The sequence below is a fragment of the Homo sapiens genome, chromosome 6, assembly GCF_000001405.40.
Source record: "Homo sapiens chromosome 6, GRCh38.p14 Primary Assembly".
NCBI lineage: Eukaryota > Metazoa > Chordata > Mammalia > Primates > Hominidae > Homo > Homo sapiens.
This window is the reverse complement of record NC_000006.12, coordinates 148,369,752-148,393,801: the sequence shown is the minus strand read 5'-3', so window position 1 is coordinate 148,393,801 and position 24,050 is coordinate 148,369,752. Positions and strand designations below refer to the sequence as shown.

The window sequence follows — 24,050 nt, the reverse complement described above, 5'->3', positions numbered from 1 at the left end:
TTGAATCAGCTCCCATCAATTTTACTCACCACCAAATTCTTGCACCTTTGATGGGAACTAATTAAGCTCATGTGGTGTTTTCTCCCCCCAGACTGTCTTCTGCGGTTTTGGAACAGAGCACGCCAAATTAGCCCCATCTGTTTGAATGAGAAGGAGGTTTTATTATCTAAATAATAAATCAAAATAATAATCTAAATCCCACCGATGGGCAGACTTTCTCTCCTACCTAGAAGCTGCCTTCCAAAGTTCCCAAACACCATGGGATGATGATGGTAACCCCAACTCCTAACCAGCTAGAATCCTGAGAAGAGCAGTTTAGTGTTGTGTCAGTGGTCTGTCTTCTGCCAGTTCACAGCAATCATTTCCTCAAGCACAGTAAAATGTCTGAGGAGGCCACAGAGTCCTACCAGACTATCATTTGAGGCAAGAATTGCAACATTCTGGCCAGGCGCGGTGGCTTACGCCTGTAATCCCAGCACTTTGGGAGGCCAAGGCGGGCAGATCACCTGAGGTCAGGAGTTTGAGACCAGCCTGACCAACATGGAGAAACCCTGTCTCTGCTAAAAAAAAAAAAAAAAAAATACAAAATTAGCCGGGCATGGTGGTGGGCACCTGTAATCCCAGCTACTCGGGAGGCTGAGGCAGGAGAATCAGTTGAACCCAGGAGGTGGAGGTTGCGGTGAGCTGAGATCACACCACTGCACTCCAGCCTGGGCAACAGGAGGGAAACTCCATCTCAAAAAAAAAAAAAAAAAAAAAATTGAAACATTCAAGAATTCAGGGCATTATGCAATATTTATTTAAGTTGTCCTGTGGTAATCTTGCCAAAATGAGAGTATTTTTTCATTAACTATGCTTCAACAGGAGAGCCTAATGAATTTTAAGAGTGTGGGAGTCTTTTGACACATAAAGTTACTTTCTTCAAAAGGAGGAAATAACCCCAGCATTCACACATGTCAAGGAACAAAGTTAAAAGAAAGAAGCCCTTGACAACACTGCCGCCCACCTGGGCCAAGGCGTCAGGCTCCCGTGGTGATGGCTGTCAGCCCCTGGATGACACTTCTCAGCCTCAGTCAACTTTAAACTAACTCCCATCCCTGCAGCTACTAAATTGGTGAACATAAAAGAAAGAGAATCAATTAATATTTGGCAGTCATGATATAATGTTACTCCTGATCCAAGGAATGTTTACTTGGTTAAGAAAAGAAATAATAGTACATAAGAACACCATAGTCTTACCGTGGAAACAGATTATGTTCACTTGCACAATATAGGGCAGTGGTACCCAACCACTTGCTGAGTCCCTTGTATGAGAGGACTCACAGAACCCTTGTATGTAACATAAAAATAATTATTAACAAAAGAATTATCTGTTCCTACTTAGTTCTAAATTAGTTACTTAATTATTATTTTTGTGTGTGTGCTCACCCTAAGTAGATAAACAGGAGGTGGGAGGAGGATAAATAAGGATTCAACTGAATCAGCAGTTTTCAAACTTTTTTTTTTTTTTTTTTTGAGACAGAGTTTCACTCTTGTTGCCCAGGCTGGAGTGCAATGGCGCGATCTCGGCTCACCACAACCTCCGCCTCCCAGTTTCAAGTGATTCTCCTGCCTCAGCCTCCCGAGTAGTTGGGATTAGAGGCATGCGCCACCACGCCCGGCTAATTTTATATTTTTTTAGTAGAGACGGGGTTTCTCCGTGTTGGTCAGGCTGGTCTCGAACTCCCGACCTCAAGTGATCTGCCAGCCTCGGTCTCCCAAAGTGCTGGGATTACAGGCATGAGCCACCGCTCCCGGCTTAGTTTTCAAACATTTTTTTAAAGGCAGAGGAACTCTGTTACTTAAAACATATCCATGCAGCCCCCACTATATGAGATGGCTCAAAAGGAACAGGTCTGGATGAGGAGACAGAGGGTTGAACATTTTCTTCTGCCTCAACCCCACTTCTTGAGGAGGTCCTGAGGTTGGCATAATGAAACAAAACTATTTGAAAGGCACGGAACTAAAGTGAATCCAATAGTAAGACATTTAAACTGAGAAATGCAGACGCTTTTATGATATTTTATAGCAAATATACAATTTTGAACTACTAGTATACATATAAATTATATATATAGCACCTATGCTATTTAGTTACTGTTTATCACATACAAGTCCAAATGCATCTCTGATTATACACATAAAGGTTTTCACAAACAGCCAAATTTATTTCAATGCACCTGAGTGAGAGGAGACTATAACCATGAAAGATGGTGATGACAAGTCTCAAGGACAGGGAATATGAGCTGCAATAAAATGTTAAGTAATAAAGGAAGAAGTTTTTTTTAAATATATAGATACAGCATTGTATCACTGATTTTTTTTTTTTTTTTTTTTTTTATAAAAGTGTCTTTAGGCCGGACGTGGTGGCTCACGCCTGTAATCCCAACACTTTGGGAGGCCAACGCGGGTGGTCACCTGAAGTCGGGAGTTCAAGATCGGCCTGACCAACATGGAGAAACCCCGTCTCTACTAAAAATACAAAATTAGCTGGGTGTGGTGGCGCATGCCTGTAATCCCAGCCACTCGGGAGGCTGAGGCAGGAGAATCACTTGAACCTGGGAGGTGGAAGTTGTGGTGAGCCCAGATCACGCCACTGCACTCCAGCCTGGGGGACAAGAGAGAAACTCCGTCTCAAAAAAAAAAAAAAGAGTGTCTTTAGTGGTGGGCTAGTTTTGCTGATTTTTAAATGCCCACAAAAACACTAGAAGGATACCCGCTAAAACACCAACGTGATTATTGCTAGGTGAGGGACTACAGGTGATTTATTGTTCCTTAAAATTTTATGTTGCTTTCCAAAAGAAGAAAAGAAAAAGAGAAGAAAAGAAAAAAGGAACGAAAGCTGGAAAAAAAATTAGCCTAGACACCCTTTGGGCTTAGAGTCAATAAAAAATGTAGTATACACTGGTGAACAGTAAAAATATACTTTTCCCTTAAGTAAAAAAATAAAAATAAAAATCTATTTTTTTTTTTTTGAGACGGAGTCTTGCTCTGTCGCCCAGGCTGGAGTGCAGTGGCGTGATCTTGGCTCACTGCAAGCTCTGCCACCCAGGTTCACGCCAGTCTCCTGCCTCAGCCTCCCGAGTAGCTGGGACTACAGGCACCCATCACCACGCCCGGCTAATTTTTTTTCTATTTTTAGTAGAGACGGGGTTTCACCGTGTTAGCGAGGATGGTCTTGATCTCCTGACCTCGTGATCCGCCCGCCTGGGCCTCTCAAAGTGCTGGGATTACAGGCGTGAGCCACAGCGCCCGGCCAAATCTGTTCTTTTAATGAGTGCAAAGGTTCGATCCTATTGCTCCAGCCAACACTCACTCAGTTTGATATCTGCGGCAGAACTGGGCCAGTCTTTTAGGGACCTGAACATTCTACCCCACACTAGTGCAGCAGCCTACAGATTGATACCCCAGGAAGAGCTAGCACTGGGATAAAGACCAAGGAAAAGCCCAAATTGGAGCAGCTCTGCTCACAGAAGCATATTCCCAGGACCCCCACTCACCACTTCCAGGTCCTGGGAAACCCGCCGTTTCCGCAGCTCCTCCATCCTCTCGCACACGTCGGAGAAACAGGTGTTGTAATAATCTGCATACTGCTGCGCCAGGTCATCGATGTTTCCCAGTGAACCGTCCTGAAGGGGTGGACAAACAAAGGCGGTCAGGTCAGTCCACCCTGGAAAAGCCCACAGCCATCGGACCTCCCTCTACGCAGAGTTAATAGTAATAAAGGTTGGTATTTAAGTGGGAAACATCAAGTGCCAGGTTGTTTTACATGCAGGATCTCCTAACCCTCAGGACAGCCCTCTGACAGGGGCCTGTTTTTTCCCACTTATATTGATGGGTAAACAGGAGCTCAAAGAAGTTGAGCGACTGCCCACAAATCCCAGGACTAAGAAGCACAGAGGCCAGCTCTCCAACCTCGGACGGTCTGGTGCCAACACCAAAGTCTTCAATCCCCATCTCTCTGCCTGCCTAGCAGGGCTAAGAGAGGAAACACCAGGGAAGCACCTTCAGCAAAGGCACTGTGTGAGGAAGAGGCTCCTAATGCCCAATGTGGCCCCTGGACTGCACCACCACCTACTGGGAAGCTCATAAAAGAGATGTCAGGACCCCTCCCAGGGATTCTGATGGGAGCCTGAGAATTCAGGAACCGATAGAGAATTGCATCTGGGACAAATCTCACTGCACCTCTCAGGAGACCCTCAGAAAAGTGGAAAATCTTTTTATTCATTTAGTCATTAGTGTTCATTAATATTCATTATTATGGTCATTAATATTCATATTATTCATTAGACTCATTATTCACTAGGCATTCCAAGTCCAGGTGCAAGAGTACATGTTACAAATTCACCTGCATAAATAAATAAACATGTCACTTGTTTCTTCCCCAAGGCAAGTGCCACGTAATTGCTCTAGAGCTCATTCTGAGTTTCCACCCAGCTCCATAGCGCCTGGTATTGGTTAAGTGGCCTTAGGCACGTCTCAACCTCTGAGGAACACTGAATAATCACAACACCTACTTCAGTGAGGACTACTGGAGTAACACGTGTGAAGCGCTTAGACTTTAGCCGGCTCGTGTAGTCCACCCGGCATGTAGTAAATGCTAAAAATTTCTCGCAGTGTAATACTCACTGCAAGATTATGTTCCACACTATAGTCTTCCTTTAGAGCAATGGATTCCTAAAAACATACCTGAATACATACAGGGAGGATGACAGAAATACCTTGTACATTTGTAAGTTATGCCATTTCTTCTATCAATTCATTCAGAAAGACCTCTCCTCTCCTCCAGCTCTTTTTTTTTTTTTTAACCTCCCAACATTCTGCTCTTTGGTATAAATAAATGACTTTACCAAGACAACCAAGGAAAATACGACTTTTAGACCACCTAAAGCCACACACACATTTTCCATTTTACAGACTGCTAGCCAACCCCTTCAGTTATTTAATGTTGGTGCACTGCCCATAGCAACACACGCCTAACACTGCGAAGCAGGCTTAGATGCAAGCAGGGCTTGGGAGTTGAATTTCTCCCAAAGCCTTTCTGCTAAAGACCTACACCCTGGTCAGCAGGCCTGGGGCAGAGCAAGGATCATCTCTACCCTACTTCTGCATTCACTGATTTTACAGAACCAAGGGAGAGGAGAAACAGAGACGGGAAAAAAATGACGCTTCAGAAAAGCTCCTTGCTTCCCCACCAATAACATGTTCTGCATTTGAGCTGATTGCCTCAAAGTTCCTAGCACAGTGTGGAGACAAGAAGGACTCTTCTAAGGCCAGTAAGATCTTTGAATGTGTCTGGACAAAAGTCACCCCTTCACTACAATCAGTCTTGTCTGTCTGAGCCCACAGCCTGGACTGACACAGCAGGCAACGTGGGAGACCCCCTCCTCTTCAAAATGTCGTCTATTGTCAAGTGTCCAGTAGAAAAATAACAAAGGTCAAGATAGAATCTGTTGCTGCCCCTCTGAGGACATGCACCGTGGCCCTCAGCCTCCTGGCCTCTGCTGTGCTGCCTCCAGGAAAGGAAACTGCCTGAAAACAGAACCTGGGCCGGGCGCAGGGGCTCACGCCTGTAATCCCAGCACTTTGGGAGGCTGAGGTGGGCGGATCACCTGCGGTCAGGAGTTCGAGACCAGCCTCACCAACATGGAGAAACCCCGTCTCTACTAAAAATACAAAATTAGCTGGGCATGGTGGTGCATGCCTGTAATCCCAGCTACTCAGGAGGCTGAGGCAGGAGAATCACTTGAACCCGGGAGTCAGAGGTTGCGGTGAGCCAGGATTGTGCCATTGCACTCCAGCCTGGGCAACAAGAGTGAAACCCTGTCTCAAAAAAAAAAAAAAAAAAAAAAAAAAATTAGCAGGGCGCATTAGTGGGCACCTGTAATCCCAGCTACTCAGGAGGCTGAAGCAGGAGAATCACCTGAGCCTGGGAGGCAAAGGTTGCAGTAAGCAGAGATCGCACTATTGCTCTCCAACCTGGCCAGGGCAGCAGAGTGAAACTCCGTCAAAGAAAGAAAGAAAAGAAAAGAAAGAATGGAAAGAAAAGAAATAATTTACTAAGGATGCCGAAAGAAAGAAAGAAAGAAAGAAAGAAAGAAAGAAAGAAAGAAAGAAAGAAAGAAAGAAAGAAAGAAAGAAAGAAAGAAAGAAAGAAAGAAAGAAAGAAAGAAAGAAAGAAAGAAAGAAAGAAAGAGAAAAGAAAGAAAGGAAAAGAAAAGAAAGAAAGAAGAAAGAAAGAAAGAAGGAAAAAGAAAGAGAGAGAAGAGAGAAGGGAAGGGAAGAGAAGAGAAGAGAAAAGAGAAGAAAAGGGAAGAGAAGAGAAGAAAAAAGGAAAAGAAAAGAAAGGAGGGCCGGGTGCGGTGGCTCACGCCTGTAATCCCAGCACTTTGGGAGGCAGGTGGATCATGAGGTCAGCAGTTCGAGACCAGCCTGACCAACATGGTGAAACCCCGTCTCTACTAAAAATACAAAAAAATTAGCTGGGCTTGCTGGTGGGTGCCTGTAGTCCCAGCTACTTTGGAGCCTGAGGCAGGAGAATTGCTTGAAACCAGAAGGCGGAGGCTGCAGTGAGCCGAGATTGCGCCACTGCACTCTAGCCTGGGCAACGAGAGCAAAATTACACCTCAAAAAAAAAAAAAAAAAGAAAAGAAAGAAAGGAAGGAGAGAGAGAGAGAGAGAGACAGAGGGAGAAAGCAAGAAAGAAAGAGAGGGAGAAAGCAAGAAAGAAAGAGAGAGAGAAAGCAAGCAAGCACCCAGGTAGTTCCCAGGACAGAGGGAGCTGGGCTATCTTCAGCACCAGGGCATCCTCCTTGATTCACCTAGGGATGTTTGTTTGCTGATACTTCAAAGAAACAAAGTGCTCACCATCCCTGTTCACCCTGAAGCCTCTCCTAGTTTCTTAGCTCCTTTCCCCAGCCTATATTGACAAAGACAAAGGAGCTCCCTTTTGTGTGTGAGTTTGAGGGCAAAGGGGAGCAACTTAACCTGAAAGCCCATTTTTATGAGTTACAGATCTGATCCCTATCACAACCGGGGACCCTGGAAGATCCTGGGCTCTTTGGAGTTGTCTTGGTCTCAGGAACGTGATGCTGTCCTCATCCAGAAACTTCTGCCTTCATCCAGCCAGGAAACAAAACACACCTGCCACTTTGACCAAATAGAAAGTCCATGTCTCCCAACAGCCAAGTGTACTTGTTAAGGGGGTTTACAGCTTACACACTACCCTGTGGCTTTCTGGTCTGGAATAGAAATCCATCACTCTCTCTGTCTCTTATACACAGAGGTCCACACTGAGGTATTCCAACATGGAATACTGGTTTCTCTCTAAAACAACCAGCTTTCACGTTTGTGAACTGTCCAACTTATCACAACCAACCGTCGTCTTGGACTAACCAAGACCACTGGGAAAAAAACTATTTATATATTATTTATGTAATTATTAATATAGCTTTGTCCAAACTACTTTCTTCCCCTTTTTCTCTTCTCTCTCATATATCCTAAGAATATTCTGATGATGTAGAAAAACCAAACTCAATGTCTTCTACAGCCTCACAACAGAGATCACTTCTGACACCAGACATGGTTGGGCAGGGGAGGTGGTTCCCCTCCCTCCACACTCCAAAGAAGCAGCAAGTTCTGCAGTGGACACTAGCTGGGTGTTTTCCAGTTCAAATCCGACACTACCGAACCAGAGACAGCCTCATAACCCAAAGGCTGAAGGCTCAGTCCCACAAGACTGCTCTTCACTTCTGATGCCAGAAGCAAGCTCCAGGTTGTTTTACCTGCTACAAATTAGGGTTCCCACGACCCCCTTTTGGGGCTCAATTAATTTGCTAGAGTGGCTCGGAAAACTTGGGGAAACACTATACTTACATTTACTGACTTATTTTGAAAGAATTCACAAAGGATACCAATGAATACCAGATGAAGAGATGCACAAGGCAGAGTATTGAGGAAGGGTGTCGGAGCTTCCGTGCCCTTTCCAGATGCTCCACCCTACACAAATTTCTATGTGTTCAGCTATCCAGAAGCTCCCAGAACCCAGTCTTTTGGGGTTTTTATGGAAGCTTCATTATGCAGGCATGATTGATTAAATCAAAGGCCAATGACTATCAGCTCAACCTTCAGCCCCTCTCCCCTCCCCAGAGGTTGGGAGGTGGGGCTAAATGTCCCAACCCTCTAATCCAGCCCGGGTCTTTCCTGTGACCAGCTTCCATTCTGAAGCTACCTAGAGTGGCCAGCCATCAGTCAACTCATTAACATACAAAAAAATACACTTATCACTTTGGAGGTTCCAAGGGTTTTAGGAGTTTGCCGGAAAACAAGATTAAGACCAAATATGTATTTCACAATATCATAAAACCAACAACAAGCCAACTCTTCACTTCAGTTCTGTTTTTCCTACGAGTGAAATTCTCTATCCCATTCCCAATCACTCAAAACTCCCCCAATAACTTGGGGACCTGAAAAATATATTTGTTGCTCCTGAGGAAAAGAGCAGCTGTTCAAATCAACTCAGGCCAAAGAAAGCCAGCATTTCACACCCTACAACATGCCATAATAGCCACTCCTCACTCCAGATAATAATTAGAAAAGGGTGGCACAGCTGCTTTTACATCTTCCCAAATTACTTTCCAGATGTGCAGTAAGTCCCCATAATTACCACTTTCATCAGTCCTGATGATTTAAATGCCAAGAAAGGCAACAGAATAGAAGAATGTATATGTGTGTTTTTAAGAGTGGGTCTTGTCTGCCATCCCACAAAAAGAATCTTTTACATTCCAATCAATGAAACCAACCAACTACCTGATGATTATCTTTACCCACTCAAAATTCAGGCTTTAAAAAATGAAATAATAAGAATAATCATCATTTCTATGTTATATGGGGGTGGGAGGAAACTCTGGGAATGATGGATATGTTTATGATGTTGATGGTATGGCATATACTTATTCCCAAACTCATCGAATTGTATACATTCAAAATGCACAGCTTTTCACTTATCAAGCATACCTCAATAAAGCAGTTTTTAAAAAGCCATGCTCTTTCAGGACTGACAGTGTTTGCATTATTTTTATTCAGCTTATTCCTTGAGATAGCTACAGACCTACTCCATAAAAATATTTAATTTTACTAAAAATACTTGCAACATGAGTCTGCAGGAAATTTAAATAATGTAGATGAGGTTTCCATAGGATCGCATGCTGCCATCTTTACGGAAACACAAAATCTACGTCTGACTCAACACCCCACCATACTAATGTCAAGCACTGATGTTGCAAAATAAACTTGTAACTATAATAAGACTTAAAATCATCTCTACATTTATTATAATAAATATCATGATTAAAACACTGAAACGGATTCTTTTTTAAACCTTTTCTTTTAAGGTGTTCAAAAGTTTCTGGTCTGGAGTTTATTGCTTGCCTCATCTGTTTCACTTCTTTCTTATTTTCCCTCTTTGGTTCTCTGGCATTAAACTTAAGCAATATTAGTTCAAGTTTAGGAACATGGGAAAACGTTATTTCCTCAAAATAATTTTTTGAGAAAATTGTGAAATTTTGAGTCACGCGATCTTTTTATAAGAATTTTCCCACCCCTGTCTTTGAAAACAGGAAAAGAGATACATGCAGATTCAAGTTCTCTTTCCTTTTCTTCTCATAGAACCTGGTCACAGCATCTGTCCATATGTATGACAATCCATTTCACTTGCTGAAGATTTAAATTAAATCTGTGGAGTCATCACCCGTGTCAGCTCAACGGACAACAAACTTGTATAATCTTCCCCCAAAGCCACAGAGCATCTTTGTCCCAAACACCCGTCTTTCATACAACCAACATAAAAATACAGAGATAAGGGGCATTGTACCGAGCAGTTCAGATTGGGTGGACTGCTGTTGCAATTAAGGAGAAAAGACACAGAGCACTGTTTCCTCAACAATCGGTTTCACAGTATTTCTGAGATTTATCCCAATTCACTTCTGTCTCTGGAAAATGGAAAACCTAAAACTACTAGGAAAACAAAAGGCATTTGTATCGTTACTTTTGTTATTTCTGCGCTTCTTTCCCCAGATGTCACTTCCAGTTTAGAATAAGTTGACAGATTCAGGAGAGGAAAAAAATAAAAAGAAAAAAAAGCATCTGAAAACATCAGGAGATACAATGTGATCTGTTGCATGCAGATTGTATGCAAACGAATGTGTGATCCTCCTATTTTATGTATCTATAAAGTTTTCCCCAAGGGAAAACTCATGTGTGTTGCTCTAACTCCCCAAAGTTGAGAGAAAGACAGACTGCTGACTCCTTTATTGTTTCTTTACCTTTTCCGTCCTTAATAATAAGTACATATATTTTTATATAACATAAATTCTGTTATATTTACATTGCTCCTTGTTTGAAGAGGGATGGATGGAGATATATACATCCCCTCTAAGCTAAATCCATTAAAAAAAGAAATCACTATGGTACAATGAAACCTAACTGATTTTTTGAATGACTTCCCAAGGTGTTTTCACCCTTAATTAGCTTGTTTAAAGATTTTTAAGGTGATAAACACTTTTAGCAACCTTTCAGGTGAAATTGCTACAACCATAAAAATGTCTTTAATTCTCGTTTTCTTGTTCGGCCTCATTGAATCCCTGTAATGTTACTGTTCTCACCAGCTCTGTCATCACTTCCTGCCACGTCGTCGTCGTTCTGCAGACATTCACTGACTGTAATAACTAATCTCAAATACTTTTCTGAGGTATCACTCCCAGTGTTTCTACAGATGGGTTGAGCTGGAAGTATACTTTGTCTCAGGAAAAAGTTTTAACGTGTAACGACATATGCCAGAGGGACGTATTAGGTCATGCAAATGGCAAGTGAAGCCCCCAGGGGCACACCCATAGGGCAGGTGGCTGGAGTGAGGCTTATTTCATACCTTCCATCCCCTCTCTCCAAAAACACCCAAAACCTGCCAGCACCCATGTCAAATCCTGGCTTTGGCATATACGGTCATGGTGATGCTATTGCGCACAGGTGGATCCCGGTTACCACAGATCCCCTCCTGAAGAATAAACGGCCTCCCAGAAGGCAGGATTGACAAACCCTCCTCCTCAGAGCTCTCTCAGCACCTGCTTCTAGGTCTCCAAATGTCTAAGGAAAAAAATAGCAGGAAAAAAAATTGGGGGGCCAGGCACGGTGGCTCATGCCTGTAATCCCAGCACTTTGGAAGGCCAAGGCAGGTGGATCACCTGAGGTCGGGAATTCGAGACCAGCCTGACCAACATGGAGAAACTCCGTCTCTACTAAAAATACAAAAATTAGCCAGGCGTGGTGGTGGGTGCCTGTAATCCCAGCTACTCAGGAGGCTGAGGCTGGAGAATCACTTGAACCCAGGAGGCGGAGGTTGCAGTGAGCCAAGATGGCACCATCGCACTCCAGCCTGGGTGACAGAGCGAGACCGTCACACTCTTCACAATGGACCTGCACACATGGCCGAGGACACAGAAGGCGGAGATCTGGCGGGCTCTGGAGCTGTTGTGGGTTCAGATGCTGTCTCATGCCAGCAAGGTAAGCCAGCAGATCAGTGACACCATGTGGAAGCTGCCACAATGCCTGGCATCCTACACCAACCTTCAGAGTCAAAAAAATATGCTGCTGATTCACTTCCAGCTCCCAAATCTCACACAAGGTGTCTTTTGTAAAGGTCGCTAACCCAGAACCATACCAGAAAGGGTGAACGCAGTACAATCCCCCACAGAGTCTTTGGATAAATTTAAACATTTGAGACTTGCATTTGTTTAAAGGATATCACATAGCATATTAGAAGAGCACAGAAGAGGCTGGGCACAGTGGCTCACACCTGTAATTCCAGCACTTTGGGGAGGCAGAGGTGGGTGAATCACTTGAGGTCAGGAGTTTGAGACCAGCCTGGCCAACCAAAATGGTGAAACCTCATCTCTACTAAAAAAATTACAAAACTTAGCTGGGCGTGGTGGTGCATGCCTGTAATCCCAGCTACTCAGGAAGCTGAGGCGAGAGAATCACTTGAGCCCAGGAGGTAGAGGCTGCAGTGAGCCAAGATTATTGCGCCACTGCACTCCAGCCTGGGCAGCAAAGCAAGACTCTGTCTCAAAAAAAAAAAAAAAAAAAAAAAAAAGAAAGCAAGAAAGGCACTGATGGAGTTCGCTTCCTAGGCAACAGCCATGGGGGCCCACACTGTCTCTATTTTAGAACCCCACTGCCTGTGAGTTTCCCTGTCACCATCCACCCCTCCTCCTCAGCACACCCTTACATGCAATGATTCCCCAAGGTCCTCTGCATTTTTCTCTTCTTACACTCCCTGCTCCCTTGGGGAAATGTCATCTGTGGTAGGACAGAGTTAAAGTCGCGGCAGAAACACTTTCCCTCTCCTCTACTTCCAACAGGCCCAGTGCAGCCTGCTTGACCCTAGGATTCGGCAGGCTTGAGACTGGTAGCAAAAATGTTATTACCAAAATCTTATGCATGAACTAGTCATCCCCAACTACCTACTGGGAAGAAATCTGAAAAGTTTAGTCTAAATATGAACAAACTCAGTTTCCTGGCCAGGCAGAGGAGCAGCTCTAATAAAAGAGATGACGAAGAAGGCCTACTCCACATCCCTCATGCGGAGTATATGCTAGCACCTCTGCACAGCACAGTGATTTTCACGTATGATGAAGAAACTGAGGAAAGCTGTCAACATTCGCCTGTGTTTATGCCCTTCAATCATCAACAGTTCACAGGATATTTCATTAATTCAAATAATATTTACTAAACATCTACTATATTCCGAGTGTTGTGCTAGGTATTAAGTATCCAATATAAAATCAAAAAACATGAATGTTTATTTCTACTGCACAGAAGAGCAAAGTGTGGCCATTAGTTTATTTTAATGCAGTCATACGGTTAAGTCATGAGAACTTGTTGAAGGGATTTACTAAGCTGTGTGCTTAATATTAGATCTCTTTGGAACGAAAGGCTCTGAAAAATCCAATCTGCTGGCTATCAGTGGCTCAAAAGAGTATTACACAAAAACCCTAAGAACTTGAAAATGTGGAGAAAAGAATGGGAACATTGATCATTGGTTTTTAGAAAGTACAAGCCTAGATTCAGACTCAAAATGGACATTTGGATTTAGCAGATGGCAGTTTTAGACTGAACTCATTTTCCATTTTTAATCTGCCCTGAGCTTAACAGAATCACAGATTTGAAAAGCAGCACAGATAATTGGGTGGGAATGAAGTCACAATTATAGACCACATTCACAGATCTTGATGAGCATGAATCACACTGGGTTTTCTCTGGCCGCCTTTTTGGCACACAAACGTGAGGCTGTGAACATTTTCAAGCATTTGACCAACAAGATCTGAATGTGATATGACCAGAATTTTAGAAATGAAAATATTGATCTCAGAACAATCTGAAATTTCTAGTACTATGGTTAAATGATGTACAATATTTGAGTTTTTGTGTTTTAGAAAAATTATAATCTGCCACAGCTTGACTAGAGAGCCTCGCGGTGTGACCGTCTGTGGTATGAGACTGAGCTTGACTCTGGCTGATTTCCTCACACAGCTCCCCGGCGCAACTGGTAAGTGAGACGCAGGAGTCCAGACAACTCAATCAAAACTGACTGACAACAGGCATGACGCTGGTAACCCTCTGCTTTTATACAGCTAAGGTTGAAGCAACTGTTTCTTGGTGCTATTGCCAAAACTCCACATTTTTAAGAACTGACAGGTAACAACTGAAAAATACTCTTTGTGTGGCACCTACGTTCCGCATCTCACAAATGGCTGCACACGATATCCAGGACTTGCTTTAAAATCCTGGGCCTGGGAGGGGTGGTGAGTGCAGATATAGATGGAACAAGATCAGCGGTGATGGAACATGGCAGCTCTTTAACATATGCTCCCCACTTGGTATACATCTGAAATTTCCCACTGTAAGGAGTTTTTAAAAGGTGACTTATTTGTTTACGTGTTTGTTGTTACCAGGCAACTTTAGAGTTTATGAAAACTGGGAATGGATCTTATTCATTTTTATAACCTCAATATCTAACATTATTGCAACACCCAACACTTAGCAGTTACGTAATAAATACTTATCAAATGAATGAACAGATGGATGGATGGATGGATGGATGGATTGATGGATGGATGGCAGTAAAGTTGATCCCTCTCTTTCCTGAGAGTGCCATAAAATTCACTCGGTAACTAGGAATTGACAGACTGCCCGCTAAACCAGCATTTTTATATATAATGGTGAGCTTCTAGTCACGATTCTTGTCCCTACTGACCTCACAAGAGTAATACAGTCTAATGAGACATTGATACATGAAATATATCATTAGAAACAATAACAAACGAAGATCTGAGGGAAGGGGGTAGGAAGAAGTTCCATACAGAGGGAATATCAAATGTAATTCCTCTGAGTCCAGAGAGAGAGCTTAACATGTTCCAAGAGGTAAAGCTACCCTGGGTGACTAAAAGGTCAGAATGCAGAGGTGTGGCAGGACAGGGGACTGGAGAGACAGGAAGAAACCCAGGTTTGGTGATTCCTCATGAATTCAATAGCCATAGATATTTAAGCAGGAATATAGAGGGCATGCACTTTGCTTTAAATAAAGTACGAAACTCGCTGTCATACACTTCAATGAAAACCAAACCACAGAGATTTTGAAAACTGTGACCCTGATTTCATTAACTTTGCACCCACACAAAAACCTCTCAACAGAACATACAGTTGGCACCTGTGAATTGATAGTGCCTTGTCCCTCACCAGCTAGAAAAACCAAACTAACAAATGGGGATATAATCCTAGAAGCTCATCCAGCCCTTGGCCAGCTCTGTTTCATTATATTTTTGTCCAGCTGTGAATCTTAATGCTGCTGACACCAATAAAGTGAACCATTAGCATGGTGTCTGCCTCTGTGATCCTTGACAGCAGACCCAGTCCCACCTCTGTCATGGAAGAGGCTGAACAGTGAAGACAAGATCTAAACCCACTGGGATGTTATTCCTCTTTACAGGTATGGCCACAGCCCAACAGGAAGAGAAAAGCTTCACAGAATAAGGGTGGCCTACATGAGAAAGAATTATCAACCAGGCACGGTGGCTCACGCTGATAATCACAGCACTTTAAGGCAGGCGGATCACTTGAGCCCAGGAGTTTGAGACCAACCTGAGCATCGTGGTCAAACCCCAGTTCTACCAAGAAAAATATATAAAAATTAGCGGGGCATGATGGCACACGCCTGCGGCCCCAGCTACTCAGGAAGCTGAGGTGGGAGGTTCAATTAAGCCAGGGAGGCAGAGGCTGCAGTGAGCCAACATCGTGCCACTGCACTCCAGCCTGGGCGACAGAGTGAGACCCTGTCTCAAAAAAAAAAAAAAATTGTGGCCGGGCTCAGTGGCTCATGCCTGTAATCCCAGGACTCTGGGAGGCTGAGGCGGGTGGATCACCTGAAGTTGGGAGTTTGAGACTAGCCTGGCCAACATGGTGAAACCCCGCCTTTACTGAAAATACAAAAAAATTAGCCAGGCATGGTGGCGCATGCCTGTAATCCCAGCTACTCCGGAGGCTGAGGCAGGAGAATCTCTTGAACCTGGTAGGCTGAGGTTGCAGTGAGCCAAGATTGCGCCACTGCACTCCAGCCTGGGTGACAAGAGCAAAACTCCGTCAAAAAAAAAAAAAAAAATTGTGGGTGACAGAGAACTCCAGTCAATGGAACAGGAAGTTTGGCATCTGAACCCTTCTCTCTTTCTCTGCTACTTACTGACCCAGAGTAAGGTAGTTAAATGTGTACGGCCTCATTTTCCTCATCTGTAAAATGGTAATTACAAAGCTACCCCACAGGCTGTAATAGGATTAAATAAAATACTTGTAAACCCTTGACAGATCATCTGGCATTCAATAAGCACTCATGAAATAGAAGTCCTCACTCCTCCAACAGGAAGGTTAAAATTTCTCCTATTATTTGATGGGACCAAGTTATATCACATGAGTGGCACAGAATTCCAACCTATTATAAAAATAAAGATCTAGAATTTCAATACAGGGAAGGGCCTTAAATATGATCTCATTTGATAACTTTATTTCAAAGATGAATTAAGAGTAACCAAAGACCACAGGGTTTTGAGTGACTTGTCCCAAAAGACAAGAAACCAAGCCTCCTAAATCAGAGTACAGGAATTATTGATTTCTAATTATTTACATTTATTGCTGATAATTTTTAACATGTTGAGAGTCAAAGATCTTCCTGAATCCAAAGATATTTCCCACACCAAAAGGAATAAATGGAAAGTTCCTGGGTTCAATGGGCTTAATTAAAGTCTCACAATCTTCTCATATCCTGACAGAAAAAAAGCAACTAAGATTTTAAAATAAAGATAGCCCATCTAGAAGGGCACTGAATACACAAGGAGCTTATCCAGAAAATCCTCAGCATTTTACTACCATCAGGGAGACCAGGAGGAATGCCACTGGTTCCCTCCACAGGTTTGAGTTTCATCTTTTGTGTTTTTTTTTGTTTGTTTGTTTGTTTTGTTTTTTTTTTGTTTTTTTTTTGTTTTTTTTTTTTTTGAGACGGAGTCTCGCTCTGTCGCCCAGGCTGGAGTGCAGTGGCGGGATCTCGGCTCACTGCAAGCTCCGCCTCCCGGGTTCACGCCATTCTCCTGCCTCAGCCTCCCAAGTAGCTGGGACTACAGGCGCCCGCCACTACGCCCGGCTAATTTTTTGTATTTTTAGTAGAGACGGGGTTTCACCGTTTTAGCCGGGATGGTCTCGATCTCCTGACCTCGTGATCCGCCCGCCTCGGCCTCCCAAAGTGCTGGGATTACAGGCGTGAGCCACCGCGCCCGGCCGAGTTTCATCTTTTGTTTTTAAAAACAGGATCTCATTCTGTCACCCAGGCTGGAATGCAGTGCTGCAACCACCGTTCACTGTAACCTCGAATTCCTGGGCTCAAGTGATCCTCCCTCCTAAGGCAGCCTCCCGAGTAGCTGGGACTACAGGTCACGCCACCAGGCCCAGCTAATTTTTTGTATTTTTTGTAGAGATGGGAGTTTCACCATGTTGCCCAAGGTGGTCTTGAACTCCTGGGCTCAATGTGATGCTCTTGCCTCAGCCTCCCAAAGTGCTAGGATTACAGGCATGAGGCACCATATATGGCCTGGTTCGGGTGTTGTAAGAAAACAAATACAAGAGCAATGCTGTAGCCACGGAAAACATGCATATATTCCTTTTGTGGTGATGAGCGCTTACAATAAGCCCCACCCAGAAGCTAAAGGAAAACCTGTTTGTTTCTATTTACTAGAAACTATTTTAGAGCCCTTCATTCATATGACACCAGTTGGATAGTGTCTTTCCAAAGTCAGAAAGACGCAGGAGGCACTGTGGCTCACTCCTCTAATCCCAGCACTTTGGGAGGCCCAGGTGGATGAATCACTTGAGGTCAGGAGTTCAAGACCAGCCTGGCCAACATGGTGAAACCCCATCTCTAGTAAAAATACAAAAAAATTAGCTAGGCATGGTGGCACACGCCTGTAATCCTAGCTACTTGGGAGGCTGAGGTGGGAGGATTGCTTGAATCCAGAAGGCAGGGGTTGCAGTGAGGTTGGAGATTGTACCACTGCACTCCAGCCTGGGTGACAGAGCAAGACTGTCTCAAATCAAAAACAAAATCAGAAAGAAACCAGTTTACCCCCACTGTCTGGAAAAATGCCATGCAATCCCCAAAAAACTCTTCACAACACACCTAGCCCTCTCCAAGTACAGTGCATGAGTTAGCTTCTGGCATCTACCCTTCTGATGGCTCCTTGAACTCCAGGCCAATCACACCACACAGCTCAGTGCACTAAGGATGCCATTCAGGGACTCAGAGGCCAGCTTGTGAATGTCAGGTATAGGGGAACTCTGTTGCGTTCATCCTATACCACACTCTGATCTGTAATATACAGGAAAAATCCGATTTAGAGAATGTCAGTCCTACAAAGGAACTTTTCTTGTTCCGGCACATGTGTATTATCTGTATCCATATCTATGCATCTGCCCATCTATCCAGGTAACTATATAAAATATTACATATGACATCATGGCCATACTTTCATTTCCGTTTTGTGGGGAAGAAAAGTTATTTCCTAACTACATCATTTCCCCTCAAGATGATCTCAATTTTCATCATAAAAGGCTTTTACTTTTGCCAAGAAAATAATGTGAAAGTACTCTGAAAAAGCATCTGAAGCACATGAATCTGTTCTTATTCGTAGATTTAAAACATCTTGGAAGTTAATGAAATTGTCTTCCGTTAGGGATTTCTGTTAAGTAAGTAGATTTTAGCTGTTCTTGTCACCACAAAAAAAAAAAAAAGTTAACTATGTGAGATAATAGGTGTGTTAACCTCTTCACTAGACTGTCTAAATGTATCTCTATGTCTCTGTGTATCCCACAACATCATGTTGTGGCCAGGTGTGGTGGCTCATGCCTGTAATTCCAGCACTTTGGGAGGCTGAGGCGGGTGGATCATTTGAGCTCAGGAGTTCGAGACCAGCCTGGGCAACATGGTGAAACCCTATCTCTACAAAACATGCAAAAAATTAGATGTGTGTGGCGGTGCATGCCTGTAGTTTTAGCTATTTGGGAGGCTGAGGAGGGAGGATGACCTGAGCCCAGGAGGTTGAGGCTGCAGTGAGCTATCATTGAGCCATTGCACTCCAGCCTGAGACAGAGTGAGACCCTGTCTCAAAAAACAAAAAAAGGCCAGGTGTGGTGGCTTGCACCTGTAATCCCAGCACTTTGGGAGGACAAGGCAGGCAGATCACTTGAGGCCACGTGTTCGAGGCCAGCCTGGCCAACATGGCGAAACCCCGTCTCTACTAAAAATACAAAAATTAGCCATGCATGGTGGCAAGCACCTGTAATCCCAGGTACTCAGGAGGCTGAGGCAGGAGATCGCTTGAACCCAGAAGACGGAGGTTGCAGTGAGCTGAGATCGCACCACTGCACTCCAGCCTGGGTGACAAGAGTGAGACTCCATCTCCCCCCCCCCCAAAAAAAATGCTGTAAACCTCAAATACACACAATAAAATTTAAGTTTGAAAAGAACAATATCTTGGAAGTTAAGAGTGAGAGTGGAGATTATTTGCTTTGTGTCACATTCTACACAGGGTTACAATGTAAACTTGACAGTCATTTCTGCCTAAGAGAACTAAAAAAGCTGCAACGAATTCACATCATTCTCCTAACCCAGTTACTGTGAGAATGAAAATACCCATTTTCTCAGTTTGCTTACAAGGTGAGAATTTATTAACATCACCACTGGCTTTTTCACTGACATCTAATACATAATTTTTTGAAAGAGCAATTCATTTCATTGAAGAATTAACATTTTTATCAGTTCATCTTGGCTAACAGTTTTACTGGTCAATGTTTGCTTGGACATTCCTACTCCCCTCCTTCCCATTCATATTCCTGGATTTACAATGAAACAATCCCTTAAAAGGAAATGAACTAGTTAAGGCATGCCTATCACCTACCCAAACTTGTTTATGCTTCTCGATTGCCCTATAAAAAGGGGTAATTTCACTTTCTTCTCTGGGATGTGGATACAAGTATTTTTATTTTAATTGTTTGACACATTATGGGAAGAAAGCCTGCAAAAAATTCAATGTACTGTCAAGACGCCTAGTTGATTCTGTCAGGATGGACCGTGTGTTTCCATTCTCAGAGCACAGCAGTTCAACTGTTTTTTGTTGTTGTCCTTGTTGTTGTTTTTGAGACGGAGTCTCACTCTGTCACCCAGGCTGGAGTGCAGAGTACAACAGCACCATCTCAGCTTAGTGCAACCTCCGTCTCCCAGGTTCAAGCAATTCTCCTGCCTCAGCCACCCAGGCAGCTGCGATTACAGGTGCACACCATCATGCTCAACTAATTTTTTTGTATTTTTAGTGGAGATGGGGTTTCACCATGTTGGCCAGGCTGGTCTCGAACTCCTGACCTCAAGTGATCCCCCCCACCTTGGCCTCCCAAAGTGCTGGGATTACAGGTGTGAGCCACTGCGCCCAGCCCAGTTCAGCTGTATTTTATACTGGGAAATCAAATTCTGGGCTCCCCACTGTACCCTCAAGCACCCTCTAAACACAACAGTTGGAAAGATCCTGCTATCCTGTTGGAGACTAAGTCAGATCATGTCCCTCTGCTCAGAAACCTTACTCGGGCTCCTGTTTCTTTCAGAGAAAAGGCCACAGCCCCCAGGATGACACAGAAGGCTCCTCACAACTATACACCCCTACATCTTTCCTGCTTCAATGTGTGCCTCTCCCAGCCTCACTGCCCCAGCCACACTGGCCACCTTGCTACTCCTCCAACACACCAGAGCCACTCCACCTTGGCCAGGCCTTTGAACTTGCTCCTCTCTCGGCCTGCTCAGCTCTTCCCACAATTACCTACCCTCATCCTCTGCGGATATTACTCAAATACCCTCTTCTCAAGAATATCATGTCTAAAATTGCAGCTCCCTGACCTGTCCACATTGCCTCTGCCTTATATTTCTTCTTTTTTTTTGAGACGGAGTTTCGCTCTTGTTGCCCAGGCTGGAGTGCAATGGCGCAATCTTGGCTCACCACAACCTCTGCCTCCCAGGTTCAAGCAATTCTCCTGCCTCAGCCTCCCGAGTAGCTGGGATTACAGGCATGCACCACCATGCCTGGTTAATTTTATATTTTTAGTAGAGACAGGGTTTCTCCATGTTGAGGCTGGTCTCGAACTCCTGACCTCAGGTGATCTGCCCACCTCGTCCTCCCAAAGTGCTGGGATTACAGGAGTGAGCCACCGTGCCCGGCCCCTTATATTTCTTCTTACCATTTTTTCACCATCTGAAATAGTTTGGATATTATTTGTGTAGGTTTTCATTGTTTCCCTCCCCTAACTAAGGTGTCAAGTCCAGGAGGGCAAAGATTTTTCTAAGTTTTCTTTTTTGTGCTTAGGACAGTATCTAGCAGGCTCTCAATATAAATGCACTGAATGAATGAATGAATGAATGAATGAACGAACAAATGGAATAAATGAAACAATCAATCAACATGCACCTTGCCAGGCACTAAGCTCAGGCCCTTGGGGAGATGAATATAAACAATTTATATATTGCTTTATGCTTTAATTTTTTTCCCTTCTAAGTAGCATATCTACTTTTCAGTCCTCAGACCTTAAAAGTAACTAGCAAGTTTTAACTTGTAAAACATCCATGACTTCATTATAATTTTTAAAGCCAATAAGGCACTATGCTGGTGCCTTATGCATGTATATCATCCTGTTCTCTTTGTATGATTTCAAAAGAAACAAATGGAATACAGTTCAAGGTGTTAATTACATAAGCTTATTAAAAACAAACTCCTAAGAGGCGTCAGTTCTAACATCTGGCACGTCTATGTTTATGTAGTTTATTAGTTTTATATATGTGAGAAAGTAAAATGTAGGAGCATAATATTGCAAAACAGCCACTACCAAAGGAAAATTATTTCATTCCATAAACAAGCCTTATAAAGAACTAGCTCTAGTGTAAGTCTGAAAGGGAAAGAGCGTGGCAGCAAAAACAGGTTTTTACATGCTAGTGTTTCTGGATTCATGGGAGGGTGGTACTGTGCTTCCTTATGTAACTGCAATCTAAACAATTTTACATAATCAGAAAATAAGTGTTTGCATTATCCCATTTTATAAAAATGAGTGAAGACCTTTTCCAGGCATTTTGCATAGCCAGGTCATAAATGATCTACATTGAGAACTCTGGATAATTTTTTGCAATTTGTAAGTGAATAACTACTACTGGGGGAAATGGTTCTGATAGTAAACATCCCAGAATAAGGCCTATGACCTCCAGGAGCAAACTCAGGCCACAAATACAGGAAACAAAGATTCTCAGTAGGCCATTAGAATTAACTGTCCTCCAAGAACTGGCAGGTACTTCACCATCCTCCTGGGTCACGGGGAGGCAGGTGCATGGAGGGGCCTGAGTGCAGGAGGTTCCCTGCCCCCACTCTGCCTTTCCTTATTTAGGACCACCATGAACCCAGAGGACATCCTGGCTCTGACCTAAACTCAAGTCAGATCTGTACCCACCTCCCTACAGACAAGAGTGGCAGTGGGGACCTGACATGACTCTCATGCTAAACTGCAGAAGAGCCAACAAGGCAGCTGAGCACAGTGGCTCACGCCTGTAATCCCAACACTTTGGGAAGCCAAGGCAGGTGGATCACCTGAGGTCTGGAGTTTGAGATCAGCCTGGCCAACATGATGAAATCCCATCTCTACTAAAAATACAAAAAAAAAAAAAAATTTAGCTAGGTGTACTGGCGGGTGCCTGTAATCCCAGCTACTCAGGAGGCTGAGGCAGGAGAATCACTTGAACCTAGGAGGCAGAGGTTGCAGTGAGCTGAGATTGCGCCACTGCACTCCAGCCTGGATAAAAAAAAAAAAGAATAGCCAACTAGGTGCTCCATAGATATAATTCAGAAAATGCCCAAAAAGAGATCAGTCAGTTAATTTCAACTTAACTTCATTTTCTCTTAAATATTAGCCCAGTGACATTGGTCTCTTCTCTCCCCATCCTCCTCTGTGGCAACAAAGACCTTAGAAGGTAAAACATGGAGGAGGGAAGGGAGATTGGCCACTCCTGAAACACACTTCTGTGAGGCTGGTATTCTCACAGCAACATTCAAGGAGATCGCCAAGAGAATGACAGTAAGCACAAGGCACTGGGTAAGATCCTTCACCAATTGTGTTTTCATGACAGCGTTTCACTTCTTACATAAAAAACATGTATTAGTCCTCATTTGAGAATACCTTATAAAGTCAGTACATATTTTTGAAAAAATGAGACCCTTATTAGGTCAGAATATATTTTTGTAGGGTTTTTTTGTTTTGTCTTTTGTTTTTTTGAGACAGAGTCTCACTCAGTTGCCCAGGCTGAAGTACAGTGGTGTGATCTCGGCTCACTGCAAGCTCCGCCTCCCGGGTTCACTTCATTCTCCTGCCTCAGCCTCCCGAGTAGCTGGGACTACAGGCGCCCGTCACCACGCCCAGCTAGTTTTTTGTATTTTTAGTAGACACAGGGTTTCACTGTGTTAGCCAGGATGGTCTCGATCTCCTGACCTCGTGATCTGCCCACCTTGGCTTCCCAAAGTGCTGGGATTACAGGCGTGAGCCACCGCACCTGGCCAGGTCAGAATATATTTTTGAAAAAGCATGAGACTCCAAAGCAAAGAGAGAATTTAATAGGAGAAAACCAAGATGGCACTGTTAAGAGACAAGAAAAGGAAAAACCTGAAATTGAGATATTTCAACCTAGTGTGTTAACATAGGGATGACTCAAGGACTAGATGCTGGGACCAGTATTTCAAAACTTTCCACACACCAGTTCTGTGTAAATTTCCTCCTGATTCCAAATCTTGCCAACCATCTTTAAATCTCCAGTGATAGTTAATTACCTACTTGTTTTTTAGAGTTGTCTTGGGTTTTGTCTATATATCACAATTTGTTTTTTAATAAAAGATGTACAGATAGACTTAAAAGGCCACAGAATACTTTGTGTAGACAGGGACATTCGAAAGGTCACTTTCACTTGATCTATCCTTCTATCCTTCCTCACCTCTGCCTTCCACTTACAAAAGAGAAAAATGCTATTTGTTATTAACAAATTATCTATTTTGAGAATTTTTTTTGAGGAGGTGGTTGGATTTTTGTTTTTGCTGGTTTGGGTTGGGTTTTTCTTTCCTTTTTTTTTTTTTTTTTTTTGTTTTTCTTTTTTTTGAGACAATCTCGCTGTGTTGCTCAGACTGGAGTGCAGTGGCATGATCTCGGCTCATTGCAGCCTCTGCCTCTCCGGTTCAAGCGAATCTCATGCCTCAGCCTCCTGAGTAGCTGGGATTACAAGCACACACCACCACACCCAGCTAATTTTTGTATTTTTAGTAGAGATGGGGTTTCGCCATGCTGGCCAGGCTGGTCTC

At 43.5% G+C, this 24,050-nt stretch overlaps 1 protein-coding gene across 10 annotated transcripts in view; it reads right to left on the bottom strand.

The window, feature by feature from the left end:
* SASH1 (SAM and SH3 domain containing 1) overlaps positions 1-24,050 on the bottom strand; it is a 358,577-nt gene that overhangs the window by 158,243 nt on the left and 176,284 nt on the right. For all 10 annotated transcript variants that reach the window (XM_017010599.2, XM_024446384.2, XM_017010600.2 and 7 more), the window contains exon 2: positions 3,540-3,668. In XM_017010599.2, the coding sequence (XP_016866088.1) occupies positions 3,540-3,668 (129 nt within the window). The remainder of the gene's footprint in view (positions 1-3,539; positions 3,669-24,050) is intronic.